Raw genomic sequence first — 14,578 nt, forward strand, 5'->3', positions numbered from 1 at the left:
CCTAAGAGAAAGTTTGCTCAAAAATATTTTTTTTCCCCAAATACTGACAAAAGCTTGCCCTGGGAATCCCATTCCTCTTCACATCTGACAGTAACCTGGATTTTGACAGCTCTGCTTCTGGCTCACAATGTATTCACATCAGGACCTGCTCTGCTTTTGCCCATCATGGTTACTTCTACATTTTTGCAACTTAATTCCAATAAATATATAAAATAAATGCTGAATTCTATTAATAAATACACAAACGGGTAAAGGCATGCTGGGGGCATGAGGAGGAGTTGAGTGGTTTATGGAGGGCCCTTCCTATCTCCAGCACAATAGAGACTATGCCAAGGAAATTCATACAAACGGTCTAGATAAGTAGACTGCCAGAAACAATCTGGTTTTAATGAACTAAATTAGGATTCATTCATTCAACAAGTATCTAATGAGCTCCTACTATGTGCGGGGCCCTTTGTTAGGTGTTAGAATATCATGGTGAGTCAAAGCAGATACAGTACCTGCCCCCTCTAGTTTACAGTCTGTTAGAAAAGACCAGCATTAAATTAGGCCAAGAATCAAGCAAACAAAAGTAGAATTGCAACCATGACAAATGCTAGCAAGGTGACAGACACAGTGCAGTAACCCTATCTAGCAGGATCTGGCCTAGTCATGCAGGTCAGGAAAGTTCACTGAGGAAGTGATGCTGAATTCAATATTTAAAGGCTGGCCCAAATGTCTATCAACTGATGCGTGGGCAAATAAAATATAGTCTGTCCATACAATGAAATATATTCCATCATAAAAAGAAATGAAGTACTGATTCACGCTAAAATGCAGAGGAAACTCAAAAACATTATGTTAAGGGAAAGATGCCACAGTATTGTATGATTCTACTTACATAAATTGTCCAGAACAGGAGGGATGGTGGTGGTGAGGGTGGTGGTGGCTGAAGAGTGACTGCTAGTGGGTATGATGGGGAGTGAGTGCTAGAGGATACAGGTTTCTTTTTGGGGTGATGAATATATTCTGAAATAAGATAGTACTGATGGTCTGAAGTAAGATAGTGGTGATGGTTGCACACCTCTGTGAATATATTAAAAACACTGAATTATACACTCTAGATGGGTGAATTGTGAGGTCTGTGAATTAAAAAAAAAAACATCTAAACACCAACCCGAACCAGATGGTCTGTGAATTATATCCCAATAAATCTATGTGAAAATACTGCAAGCCTAGGGAAATGACAAGCTGAGGAGCAAAGCTCCTGTGTGTGGTTGGAGGACACATGACGAGCACCATTGGAAAGACAGAAAAAAAAGGCCAGGGAGGATCAGGCCTGAGATGAGACTGAGGAGGGAAGCAGGAGCAAATCCACACAGGGCCCTGCCAGCCATGTTGATGTTCTGTTTATCCTAAATGCAATGGGTGGCACTGGAGGGCTTTAAGCAGGAAAGAGGTGGAGGGAAGAGGAAAGGACACAATGGAATTTACATTGTGAAAAGATCATTCTGGCTAAAGTAAGGAGTACAGACGGGAGGGAGTTGGAAAGCTTATGTGTAGGCCAGTTGAGAGGCTGCAAAAGTCCAAGGCAAAGGTGGAGGTAGCATGGATGGGCCGAAGTGAAGAGATTAGAAAGATGTGTAAGATGTTAAATCAACAGGACAGGGTGACAGACTGGATCTGAGGGTAAAGAAGGGGAAAGAATTCTTGTTTTCATGTTTTATAACAAGATGGATAGTGGTGGCACCCATGGGAGACAGGACACTGTAAGAGGCCCAAGATGTCAGAGGGAGACAATGAGTCTGGTTTTAGACATGGAGATCAAAGCCTTTGGTATCCAAAAAGGGCCACGAGGAAGACAGTGGGTGCAATGATTCCAGAGCTCACTGGAGAGGCCTGGGCTTGAGATGGGGATCTGTGGCTCACCTAAAGAGAGACAAGTGGAGGCATAAGTACGCATGATCCTGCCCCAGTGAGATGACAGGAAGGCTTGAGACTGAGCTCTGAGGAGCCCTGACACTTCATAGCCTGAAACTGCATAATTGGAATCTCATCATAAGACAAACCCAAAGTGATGGTCATTCCATGAAGTAACTGACCTAGAGTCATCATCTGTGTCAAGGTTATGGAAGTCAAGGAAACGCTAAGGAAGTGTTCACATTAAAGGAAACTAAAGAGACCTGACAACTAGATGTAATAGGTGATTCTGAACTAGTACCTTTGGCTATAAAGGACCTGATTGAGACAATGGGTGAAACTTGAACGGGGTCAAAGGATTTGAAGGTTATAATGTATCAGTGCTAATTTGCTGATATTGATGGTTGTATTATGTATATGCAGGAGAATATCCTTGTATACAGGGATTACACACTAAAGTATTCCAGGTATTGGGGCATGAGGTTGGCAACTTATTCTCAGATGATTGAGAAGAAAATTAAGTTTATCTGTACTAGTCTTGTTACTTTTCTGTAAGCCAGTGGGCATGACCCATGTGAGAGGTAGAGTGGGTTTTAGAAGAGAAGGAATAATCCATGGTGCACAGGTCCTGAGAAGGAAGAGTTGAAGCACAGGAAGTTTGAGAAGAAATTTAAAACAGTTGTCATGTTGTGTGAGAAAATGAGTCAATCAGAGAATTAGAAGATTGCCAAGCATATTTGGGGCCCATAACAGGATGGTGATTATGAACAAAACAATGCCGTGACTTTTAAGCACATTCGAGAACTGAAAAAAATGTAGCATCTAAAACAGATTTTTAAGGTTGCGTGTATATCCAACTTACTAAGCAAGTTTATTTCTAATAAAAGATAAGCTATACTTTATAGTATCTCTTCCCCATTAATTTTGAGAAAAACGCAAATGATTGTGAAGGATATTAGAAAAATATAGTTTAAAACTCACAAAACTATGAAAGTCAGTTTATGTATATGTATATGTGTGTATAAAAAATATGCATATGCACACATACACATGTATATTTCATTTTAATTAAAAAACCCAGGTTATTTAAAATATCATTATTCAAGTACTTCAAGACCAAAACAGTTGACATCAGTAACTGTTTAACTGAACTAAACTGAATTTATTTACAAATTGTCACTCTCTTGACAAGATTTGAGCAGTAGAAAGGGGTAAGAGAAACAACGGCATAAAAATATCAAATCCAAAAGTATTATTAGCTAGCTGAAACTCAATTATGATATAAAGAAAAATTCCTTTTGAATACCAAATTTTGTGAAACAATGGGATACTTATGAAAGTGTAATTTATATTTATTTTCTTTTCAGATCTCTAGGTGAAGGATGCCTTTATTTCACACGTCTTCATCTGGGATCTATAATGCTCAAAAGAGATTATGCCTCCAGTTTATTTATTTGCATTATTTCTTTTCTATTATATACCAAGTGGTAACACTCTTGGTCTGGTTTTCCTGAGATGCATATTTGAACCAGGACTTGACTTAGCTCAGCAAGCAACTAACTTCCTGGGATATTGTTGCTGAAGTTTTGTACTATGTGGTTGTGTGTATGTTCTAGACATACATGTATGAAGTAGTTAAAGTTCTTCTTGGCAAATTGGTGGTTGGGGGAGGATAAGGGTTACAACTATATCTACTGACTTTTAGAGGTATGCCAGATGTACTGTTCAGTGGAAAAAAATATGCATGGTATGATGCTATTTCCACACCAAAAAGAGAGGAACTCCCTATAAATGTGTATCCATGCATATGTACATCTGTATTAGCAAAGAGAAAGACGTGGAAGGATAAATCTGCTATTACTTGTTCCACGACGATGGGCAAATGGAGAGGATGACAGAAGAACCACAGGAATGGTTAGAGACTCTTCTTATGCAAAAGACTATATATAGAAGTTCATGTGTACTATGTAAAACTGTTCATAATTTTGTTTTCATTATCACTTACTTCTCTTCTGAAGAGTTGGAAGATATATGTTCCTCCTACCTAATCTGCCAAGGATGGTCATTTTATCGCTGATTACCTGATAGGGTTTGTCTCAAAATAGTGTCTTTTTGTGTCACAAGGGAAGTACACTGTGAAAGGGACTTATTGCACGTAAGCATGTATGTCAAATTCAGCACATGCTCTACCCATGAAGAACACTTCAGTTAATTGACTGGCTAGCAAAATTACATGCAGAGTACTTGAAATTACGTAGGATTCCAAAGAAAACCCTTCCAAGTAGCTTACATCACATTTTACCAGTTGTGGTTACCATTTGTACAGATCCCTTAGAAAGCTATAAAATGTGACCCAAATGTAATTTAAAGCCAGAAGTGTTGAACTGAAGAAGAATGGTATATCTCCCCCAATACACAAATCAAGTAGAATCCTGCAAATAGTGCCCTTCTGGGCATGAGACTGAGTCATATGAAATTTGGCTAAACTCACAACCTTGAAAGTGAATTAGAGAAGAGAAAAAATTAAAAGTTGGTTTTCAAACTATAAGCCACTAAGAGGTAAAAATCAAGAACTTCTATATTTGATCAACGGAGTAGACCAAAATTGCCCACTTCACCTTTTCACATGACAATCATATGGAGTGTAATCACACACCCAGGTTGGACCAAGGGTGGATATTAGAAACATTTTACATTCACAACTAAAGTCATTTTGAAAACAATGAAAAGAGGCCAAAGTTAAGTCTAACAAATGCTTAAGAGTTTTCTAACACAGCCCAGACATCTACCTATTCCTGCCCTGGCTTCAGCAAGAATTATCTTCATACAAGATCATAAACTAGGAAACTAGTTTTCATTTATGGGTCAAAGAGCAGTACAGGGGATCCTTCTGCATAAGGCCACAGCAGCAATTTGGAACAATAATAAAATAAGGAATCCTTTCTTATTACCTATGTCTATATAAATATTACATGCGTATACATTTATATTATGATAATAGCTATAATTTATTGACTGCCTACTATGTGTCAGGCACTTTGCCAGGTGCTTTAAATACTTTATGATACTTACTCCTCAAACAACTCTGCGAGGTAGGCATTGCCTTTCCTGTTTTACAGAGCGGGGAACAGATTCAGATCTGCAATTTGCTCCAAGTCACCCAGCTGTTCAAACCAAAGGCTATCAGATTATAAAAGTCCACGCTCTCTTGGCTATACCCCAAGGAGTTTGTGCATGTTGATCACTGAGCTTGGAACAAATTTAGGCTCCAGTCTATGGCTACAAAACAAACAGGAGAGGCAAAGCGGGTCTTCCATGAGGCAAGAGCTGCCTCAGGCAATCAGGGGAGAGTGCTGCTGAGTTTTCCTTTAGTCCAAATGTTCCCTCTGTTCTCAGATTGTTCAGAGAGGACTAATTCTCCCCAACAATGCTTCCAGTTCAGTCCTCACTTGCAAGCAAAACTCAAGAGCCCCAAATTTATAGCTTTATTCTGAAAAAAAAAACAAAAACCAGTTTTGCTCTCAGTGGGACCCTTCAAATTTGTTAAGACCTCCTGCCATTTTCTTTCTCCAAATCCATCACCAACCAAGTGAGAGACAGAGGGTGATTCATTCTTTATCTCCAAATTGACCTAGATAGTAGCTCCATATAAATAAGACACTCAAGCCTACAGATTTTATTAACTTAATAGTGGTTCTTATTCAAGTATTATTTACTTGCTATGGTGTCCAATTTGGTCGCCACCAACCCACATGGCTTTTGCACATATGAAATGTGGCCAGTCTGAATTGAGATGTGCTGTAAAGTGCATACATACACCAGATTTTCCAGATTTAGTATGAAAACAGGGATGTAAAATATCTTATCAACAAGCCAGGCATGGTGGTGCATGCCTATAGTCCCGACTACTTGGGAGATTGAGGTGGGAAGATTCCTTGAGCCCAGAACTTTGAGACCAGCTGGGCAACATAGTGAGACCATGTCTCAAAAAAAAAAATCTTATTAACTATTATTTTATATTGGTTACATGTTGAAACCAAAATATTTTGGATATGTTACGTTAAATAAGCTGCATTATCAAACTTAATTTCACCTATTTATTTTTATTCATTTTAAGGTAGTTACTAGGAAATTTAAAATTACATATGCCACTTCCATTATAGTTCAATTGGACAGTCCTGGTCTAGAATGAAGGCTTGCCAAAGCTATTTAAAGACTGTTAAAGTTCTGTATCATACACAGGCTCTTTTTGTTTCAGTTTAATCCTAGAAGGAAGAAATGTGTTGAAATTGCAGCTATATAAAATCCTTGATGGACTGAAACTAAGGGGGAAAAAGAGGAAGCAGGTGGGTTTGAAAGAAGGAAAAAAGGAGTATCTAGCATTTTCTTTTAAAAATGTCATTCTTGATTTATTTGGTGGCACAAAGTGATTTTCTTACGTTTCTCAGACTGCTTGAGTCAGTCTATATAGAGGCTATTCCTGGATCTTAGTTGAAAGCTGTTGCCTTTCTAATTGTTTAACTGATCACTTCTGAACGACAATTACAGTTCATTGTTATTCCCTGTTAAAAAACCATTGACATCCATCCAAAAGTTATAGCTTACAGGTCAGGGAATATTTATGTGATATTTATAGTCTGTGAAGAAAACCCTGGGGAACTGCCAGTAGGGAGGATTATTTACCAATTTCTTTTTCTTCAAGTTTGAATTTATTTGAGATTTATATCCAAAAGACATTTTGTAATCCTGTGTAACTCTGATGTGTGACTATAATTGTGCATGTTGGTCAAGTTCAAGGAAAAAAAAAATCTTTTTTCTTTTTAATAGTGGGGGCTGGGAACCCTGGTTGATTCCACTAAAAACATCACAGACCAAAAAAAAAAAAAAAAAAAAAAATCCACTCAAGGAAGTAGTGTTACATACTTGAAGAATTTTCTGAAGTTAGCCAAGAAAAATAAGCTACGATCAAGGAGGAAAAGCTGGAGTTTCAGTTTTCTGGAGATTGTACTTCCTGGTAACATAAAAACAAAAGTTAAATTCAGAAAAATTCAACTATGAAGTTAGCATCACATAAAAAACAATGGAAAATATTTAACTATGCGCATATGTTTGTACACAAACAGAAATAGATATAAACAGACCTTAATTAGCATTGTAGACTTTAATTATCTTTGTACAGTAATTGGGAATGGTTTTGTTCTGATTTATTCCATAATGCTTACTGTGTTCTGTTAACAACTCATTTTTTTCCCCTTCCAGCCCATAATAGAAGGCTTTTACTGCATACTTTATTACATCTGCTTCTCATTTAATGACCATTGTTCTGGTCTGTCAGAGCGAGTGGCTATACAACTTCCCAAATCTGCAAGATTAAGCAAATATTTTGACAATGTCTAGTTTCTTTTTTCCTTTTTTTCAAAACATACCAGATAAAAATAAAAAGATTTTTACTTACCCACACAACGTTAGGAGAGTTTTTAATCTAACGACAATAAAGAACTAAGCGGCAGCAAAATGTACTTCATGTGGCAAAATACATCAAGCAATTTTCTGTCCCATTTCACTTAAAAAGTCCTAAGAATCTGGTCTGAATCACACAGCTGGGGTTAATGGGAGCACTCCTGGACTGCAGGGAGGTTGTGGGCCCCTGGGCAAACCACGTGGAGACCTTCAAGCTTCTAGAATGAGACAGAGGCCTTCTGCTCATTTTGGAGGGCCCCGGCAGGTAAGCTGAATGATAGGTGTCTGAATCACTCACTATGAAATGTCATTTTTAAAAATGGTCATGCTACATACAAAATTGCAATACCACTGATGGCATAAGGACCAGGGTCATAACTCTCCCCAAAGAAGGTGGATACAAATACACAAACAGAAGCATTTCTAAGCAACTGGGCAGAGAGATACAGAGAAAAGAGGATACAGCGAAAAATCTATTAACCCATAGGCATTCATTAATTCTACAAATGATCTAATGGTGGGAAGCAGAAAATACACAAATAAACCAACAAAAGCATGACATGGACATAAATGCTAAGAGGGAATGGTATGTGGAAGATGCTGCAGTCAGTGGAATGAGGGAAAGGGGTTAAGAACAGATGAGCTTTCAAGAGACAGTCTATGCCTTTCAGAGTAGTTTAGGAAAAAAGTTACCGAAAGATAACTAGGAACAGAAAACAAGGTGACAGAAAGGACCGCATTAACCCCAGAAGCATAAGCCTCTTAAAACTTTCTGGTGGGGAGCCTCTCCTTGGAGGCAGCAACCAGGGAAAATTCCCGCAAGGAGGTCCTACGGGAGCAGCCAGAATTCTACTAGAAAGACAGGAAAGACATGACAGGGATGGGTCTGTAGGAGAGCATCGGCAAAGATAGCAAGAGGATGCAATCCTCTTTAGAGGAAGTAGAGGTTTGCCTTGTTGCTATTAGATTGCTTCACATCTCCATTGGTTTGCGTTTACTATAGGGCGGAAAGCACAAAGCAGGATATGTATGTGCTTCAGGAAGCTTAAGTGCAAGGCAATGGGGTTCATTTGTGAGCTACTGGCAAACCATTTGTATTTGGGGTGGGCGTCCCGTGCAGCACGCCTCTGGAACAGTCCCTTCACTGTTAACACCACTGACTGGGCCCTTAATTGGAGCAGGTCTGCGCGTTTTAATAAACATCTTTGATGAGTTCTCTGGACTGTTCCATTAAACACTCATTCTACCAAAAATGCCTGGTAATTCTCTCTAAAAATGTTTTCATGTTACCGCTTCCAGGTCTTTCTAAAGTTAGGCAGTACAAAGAAACAAAAATCCAAAAGACTTGACTTTAATTTAGAAGTCTCAAAGAGAGTGTTCACCCTAGAGCAGAGATTTCTAAAGTTGTAGTATTGGACTCGCTTGCCTCCACCCCCACCCCTGCCCTTCTCCCAAAACAAGAAAACAAAGCAGCATCAAAGCTTGAGGTACAGAACAGAATAAAACATGTTGGTGCAGATTTGCTGGCCTCGGTGAAAACAACCTGAATCAGTAGGTCTTGGGGTATCTTCACTTTTAACAAACACTACAGGGGATTTTGATGCAGTCAGTTCAGGAATTAAATTTTGAAACACACTTTTGTCAGGCGGCAACAGGGTAGATAGCTTAAGAATGGGGTAGGAAGCTAGACTATAGGAATTCAAATCCTAGCTCCTCTACTTCCTAGCTGTGTGACCTTAGGAAATAAACACTCTGTGCTTCAGTCTCCTTATCTTCAAAATGGGATAATGGGAGCAATGTGTAAGAATTGAAAAATATGTAAAGTACTTAGTACTGTGCCAGACATGTCGTAAGTGCATGAAAAATGTTAGCCACTATTAACAGTGGATTCATCCCAAAGTGATTTCAGCTAATGAGCCAAATTTGGGTAGAGGAAGTACGCTGAAGCAGATTCCAACCAAACCAATGAATGAATACAGCTAAGCATAAAATAGAATCCTTATTAGGTATCCTCCCACCATCATTTCAGTACGGTCAGCACCAGTCTATAAGCTGTACAGACATCCTATACAATATCAATCTCCTGTAGCACAATATATCCTAACAATCCTCTTGGGCACAGACGCAGCCACAGGGCAGGAGACAAAGCAACAGAACCAGCAAGCACGCACTCTGCTGCCTCACTTCATGGGAATCCCATTCAACACCAGTCTAGGAAGAGATGACCTTGGAATGCAGATCCAGTTAATTCAATTCAATGAGCATTTATTGAACCCTTGTGATGTATCAGAGATTCACCTAGATGCTGAGGATAATACAAAGAGCAACAAGAAAATCACCCTGTCCTCAAGGAGGTCATAATCTAGTGGGAAAAAGAGATACAAGTAATTGTAAGGCAAGGTGGCCTGAGATGAATGCTATAATAGAAGATGGAAGAAGGCCATGCGAACACAGAGTAAGTAGTAATTAACTCTGATGGGGGCAGTCAGGAAAGGCTTTCCTGAAGAGCAGACATAGCATGCCATTGTGAGAGATCAATAAGGCAAGCCTATGAAATTGTTTAATGACTTTATCATTCATGGAAACAACCCAGAAAAAGCCTGAGGGACCATCTCTGTCTCTGCATTAACATGGGTGTGTTTAAGATTTGATTAAATGTTTGTTGTTTCTGTAACATCGCATTTAAAAAAAAACCAAGTATGAACATTCGTCTATTATTCTGATCTTCTTCAAAGAGAGAAAGAGTCCTAGAAATACTTTTCTTTTTTCCAAAGCAAACCCTCTGCATTAATAGCAAAAGAAGAATGGCAAGTTATCGAACGTATTATGAACTAGTTAGCCAAAGCGCAAGTCTGGGAAGGCCCACATTTGTTTTATGTAGCAATGAGACAAAATATGAGAGTTTTTTTCTTCTTATATATGGTTGCCTCTTTCTACTTGACTATAATCATTAATAATTTCTTTGGACCAGCAGAGGAAACAGGTATTGATCACAATAAAACATTGCATCCACAAACACTTGCTATAGCAGGTTATGGTCTCCATGGAAACCCTCCAATAGAACCAATCTGAATTCAATTTCAGAAGTAATGAGAACAGATAATTTTACACTCAATCAATCACTGTCAGCTGCCGTTATCAGCCAATCAGTCATTATGTCAGTCAGTCACACTCTCAACAAACTTCTTCTGTGGCATGGTCAGATGAGAATGTTTTGACATCCAGAAGCAACACGAGAAAATTGGCTCATCTTTCCTGGCAAGATGCCAAAGACACAGCACTGCATTGTGTTTGCTAAGGCAATAAACAGTCCAATCAAAATACACTGTGGTAGCGGAAGATTCTAGGCAGCAATTTCAATAATTGTTATGATACTGATGGCAGAGACGTACTTTCGACCCAAAAGTCATACAGTTTAATCCTCTCATTTAAACATGAAGAAACAGAGCACCAGAGAAGTTCAAGTATCTGCCCAAAGCTGCACAGCTAACTGGTGGAAAGCCCACGACTAAAACATGAGCATTCTCCCCTTCCAGTGCTCATCCAGGATGCCTTGCTGCTGCTCTTCACTGCCTTCCTTTTTGAGGCAAGAGGGTAAAGGGATATTTGAAGATTAGGTTCTAATTCTAAACAGAGAGCCCCAAGCCTGTGGGAGACTCACGGGATATTTGTGAGGCTTGTGCTTTGGAGCCAACTCAAACCTCTTGCTGTTTGGGGTTAGCTCGTCCTTGGCCAAGTACAACTTCTGGTTTCTAAGGAGGAACAAAAGATTTTGAAACACTACAGGGCAACCAAATCACTGTTACAAAATGACATTTTCGATAAGTTTAGTGCAGGACTATCAAGAACACATGGACTGAATTCCCTAAAAATGCTTGGGAGAGGGAGGTAAAATTTGAGGGGAAAAATCTGGCAAAATACAGTTGGGCTCTTGTCAACCTCAAATGTTAGAAATGTTGGCATTTGGGAATTGTGAAGAATCTGAAAGGTGTCTGGTTTCTTTCTTTTTTCTTTTTACTGCATTATTGCTTTGTCCATTTCTCAGAGACAGTTCTCTGAGGCTGAGGTTCACATTCTTCCTTGGTAAAACAGATGGTTGGGAGGCCGAGGCAGGCAGATCACGAGGTCATGAGTTCGAGGCAGGCAGATCACGAGGTCAGGAGTTCGAGACCAGCCTGACCAACATGGTGAAACCTGTCTCTACTAAGAAAATACAAAAATTAGCTGGGTGTGGTGGTGCACACCTGTAATCCCAGCTACTCAGGAAGCTGAGGCAGGCGAATCACTTGAACCTGGGAGGTGGACGTTACAGTGAGCCAAGATTGCACCACTGTACTCCAGCCTGGGCGACAGAGTGAGACTCTGTCTCAAAAAAAAAAAAAAAAAAATAGATGGACCAGCTTGATAGTTTGCAAACTTCAATGTGCATGGGAACTTACCAAATCTGTTAAAAATGCAAATCCCCAGATCCCACCTCCAGACATTTTCATTCAGCAGGTGAGGCTGGGCCCAGGAATCTGCCTTTTTAACAAAGGACCCAGGTAATTCTGATGCACTTTCTTTGCCAATCAGTGTTAGAAAACATTGGTTAACTAATGCTATTTGGTAAAGAATTTGGGCCATTTTGTTGATGGTAGTTTTCCAATTACATTCCTCCCCAAACATTCCAACTTCGTAAATTGTGTGTATCACCCATATTACAAGAACATAATTCTAATGGCTATGATCACAAGCTTTGATATATATATATATATATATATATATATATATATATATATATATATATATAAAATATATGAAATATACATTATAGTGCCACTTTCTATTAGCTGTAAGTAGGCTTTATCTTAAATAGGTAGGTGGTATATGGGACACTAATACATCCCATCAGAATTTGTCTAAGGCAAATGAGGTGAAAAAGCAAAGCAAGAATATGGGTTCAGGCTTGAGCTAAAACTAGTAATTGCAAAAAGAACAGTTTGGAAGCTTTCACATGAAATGCTTGCTTCATTTCTCTAGTCTGCTTGCCTGACCTCAGCTCACGATACCTATTTTATCTTCTCGCAAAACATTGATATAAAGCTTTTTGCCTGTTTCTACATGTAATACTGATCTTTTCCCTCCATTTCCTTCCGGGCTTTATTTTTTTTTCTTTTTCTGATGCATTTCAGGACATTTGATGAGTCTTGGAGTGTGTTTAAATGATGACAAGCATGTGATGTGTACACTAGGTAGACCGTACACCCTATGAGGACAAATACAGTTCTTTTTTTGCCATTTCATCCCCTGAACGTGTCACAGTACCTGGCACAAAGCACTTAAAAATATTCATCGAATAAATAAAATGAATGAAAGGATGGATGGATGGATTACAGACAAGTAAAAACTCATCCATCTGGAGGCTGAATGAATGCAGATACTTCAAAAGATCTATACTTTATAGTCATAATCAATAATCACTCATTTTTTCAAAGGTTGTTTTTATTGATAAAACTCTTGGTTAGGTGTTGTTGACCCCACAGAAACCAAAAGCAACTATAGTATTTTGTAATTATGCCTTCCTTTGTAAAACCAGCTATCATATAGATTTTTCTTTGCCAGGCTTATTTCATTGTTGTTTTGACTGAAATGGAAATATTACTGGAAGCTAAAATAACTCATAGACATTGGGTGAACCATAGGGGAGACAGTCAGGAATGGGGAGATGGAAAAAAAACCCAAAACTCACCAGTGCAATCAGCAACAGATCCTCCAGAAGCCTGTAAAAATTAAGACAACTTTTAAAACTCTCTTTGCCTGTCATCACTACACACATCCCAGGCTCACAGTCTTTCTGCATCATGCAGATGACAGAGGTAACCCTTAGGAAGCTTAACTTATCTCACTGGTAGGTTTCACAGCCTCATGCCAGTGACGTCACAGAAAACAACTTTAAATCTTCCATGAAACAAGCAAACTGGAGGAGAGATGAATTCAATGAGCTATCAGAGGTGCTTTCCATCCTATTAGAAAAAAGGAGGAAAGCAGGAAGGAAGGCAGTAAGAAAAGGAGGAGAAATTAACATTTGTCGAGCATCCATTGACAACCAGGCGCCACACTAAACTCTTCATATTTTATCTCATTTGAAGCTTATTATATTTCCAGGGGGTGGAAATTCATTGGTTCATTTTATTTTATTCATTTATTTACTTTATTTATTTTAGAGACAGCTCTCACTTTGTCATCCAGGCTGGAGTGCACTGGCACAATCATAGCTCACTGCAGCCTCGAACTCCTGGGCTTAAGGGATCTTCCTGCCTCACATTCCCAAAGTGCTGGAATTACAGGCGCGAGCCACCATGCCCAGCTAGTATGTTCATTTTATAGATGAGGGAAATAGGGCTCAGAGAGGTTCATCCCCATGCCCCAACAGCTAATGAACAATAAAGCTGGGACTAAAGTAATAGCAAATATTTACTAAGGACTTAACGTCAGTCAGTTTCATGTGTGTTAACTATTAATTCATTGAATCCTCCTTTTAATCTTATGAGGTAGGTACCTCTATGCCCTTTTCAGAGGTCACAGAACAAACACAGAGAGGTTAAATAACTTGCCCAAGGAGTCACAGCTGATACATAGCAGAGCTGGGGCTGGAACCTGCGTGATCAGCATCAGACCCTCGTCTCTTAACTACCACACTCAGCCATTCTCTACAATAGCGTCTAGGTTGGCCTTTTTCCAAAGGCTAAATCCTTTCCGGAATACAACTTTGATTTTATGTTTCTAGAGAAAACAAAAAAGGCATACCTCAACAATAGCCTATTAGACTTTTCCAAGCATGACAAATCATGTGTATTTGTTATATATACAGATAGGCTATGTGGTCTTAATTAAGGTGACCATATAATTTATTGTCCAAACCATGAAAGAAGGTGCTATCAATAATTATCCAGGGACAACAGTGGTAACCTGGAACTGTTCCAAGATGGCAAGGGTGCCTGGTCACCCTAGTCCTAATGAATAAATACACACACACACACATACACACAAACACACAAACACACAATTAGATATCGTTACTTTCAGACACATTCTGATACTACCCGCTGGAGTACGGATGTGTAGTTAAATGCTTTCTAACACTGTGTGAGCCCACCCTCCTCCCACCTCAAGAGCTGCTAGCCCTTTCTTTACCTAATGCATTTCTTTTAACTTGTTTTCTCACAAAAGACTGTACGTA

The 14,578-nt window shown here is 39.1% G+C and overlaps 1 protein-coding gene and 1 long non-coding RNA gene across 14 annotated transcripts in view; both read right to left on the reverse strand.

Annotated features, from left to right (window-relative positions):
- The window catches only part of RORA (RAR related orphan receptor A), a 741,019-nt gene that overhangs the window by 539,733 nt on the left and 186,708 nt on the right, over window positions 1-14,578 (reverse strand). The gene's annotated exons all lie outside the window — the stretch shown is intronic.
- Window positions 1-14,578, reverse strand: part of LOC107984805 (uncharacterized) — a 129,290-nt gene that overhangs the window by 21,729 nt on the left and 92,983 nt on the right. For 9 of the 12 annotated variants that reach the window (XR_007064660.1, XR_007064657.1, XR_002957761.2 and 6 more), the window contains one exon: window positions 6,823-13,118. This is a non-coding gene — a long non-coding RNA (uncharacterized LOC107984805). The remainder of the gene's footprint in view (window positions 1-6,822; window positions 13,119-14,578) is intronic. The other 3 variants (XR_007064655.1, XR_007064656.1, XR_007064658.1) reach the window with 3 other exon arrangements.

This window comes from Homo sapiens, chromosome 15 (genome assembly GCF_000001405.40).
Source record: "Homo sapiens chromosome 15, GRCh38.p14 Primary Assembly".
Lineage (NCBI taxonomy): Eukaryota > Metazoa > Chordata > Mammalia > Primates > Hominidae > Homo > Homo sapiens.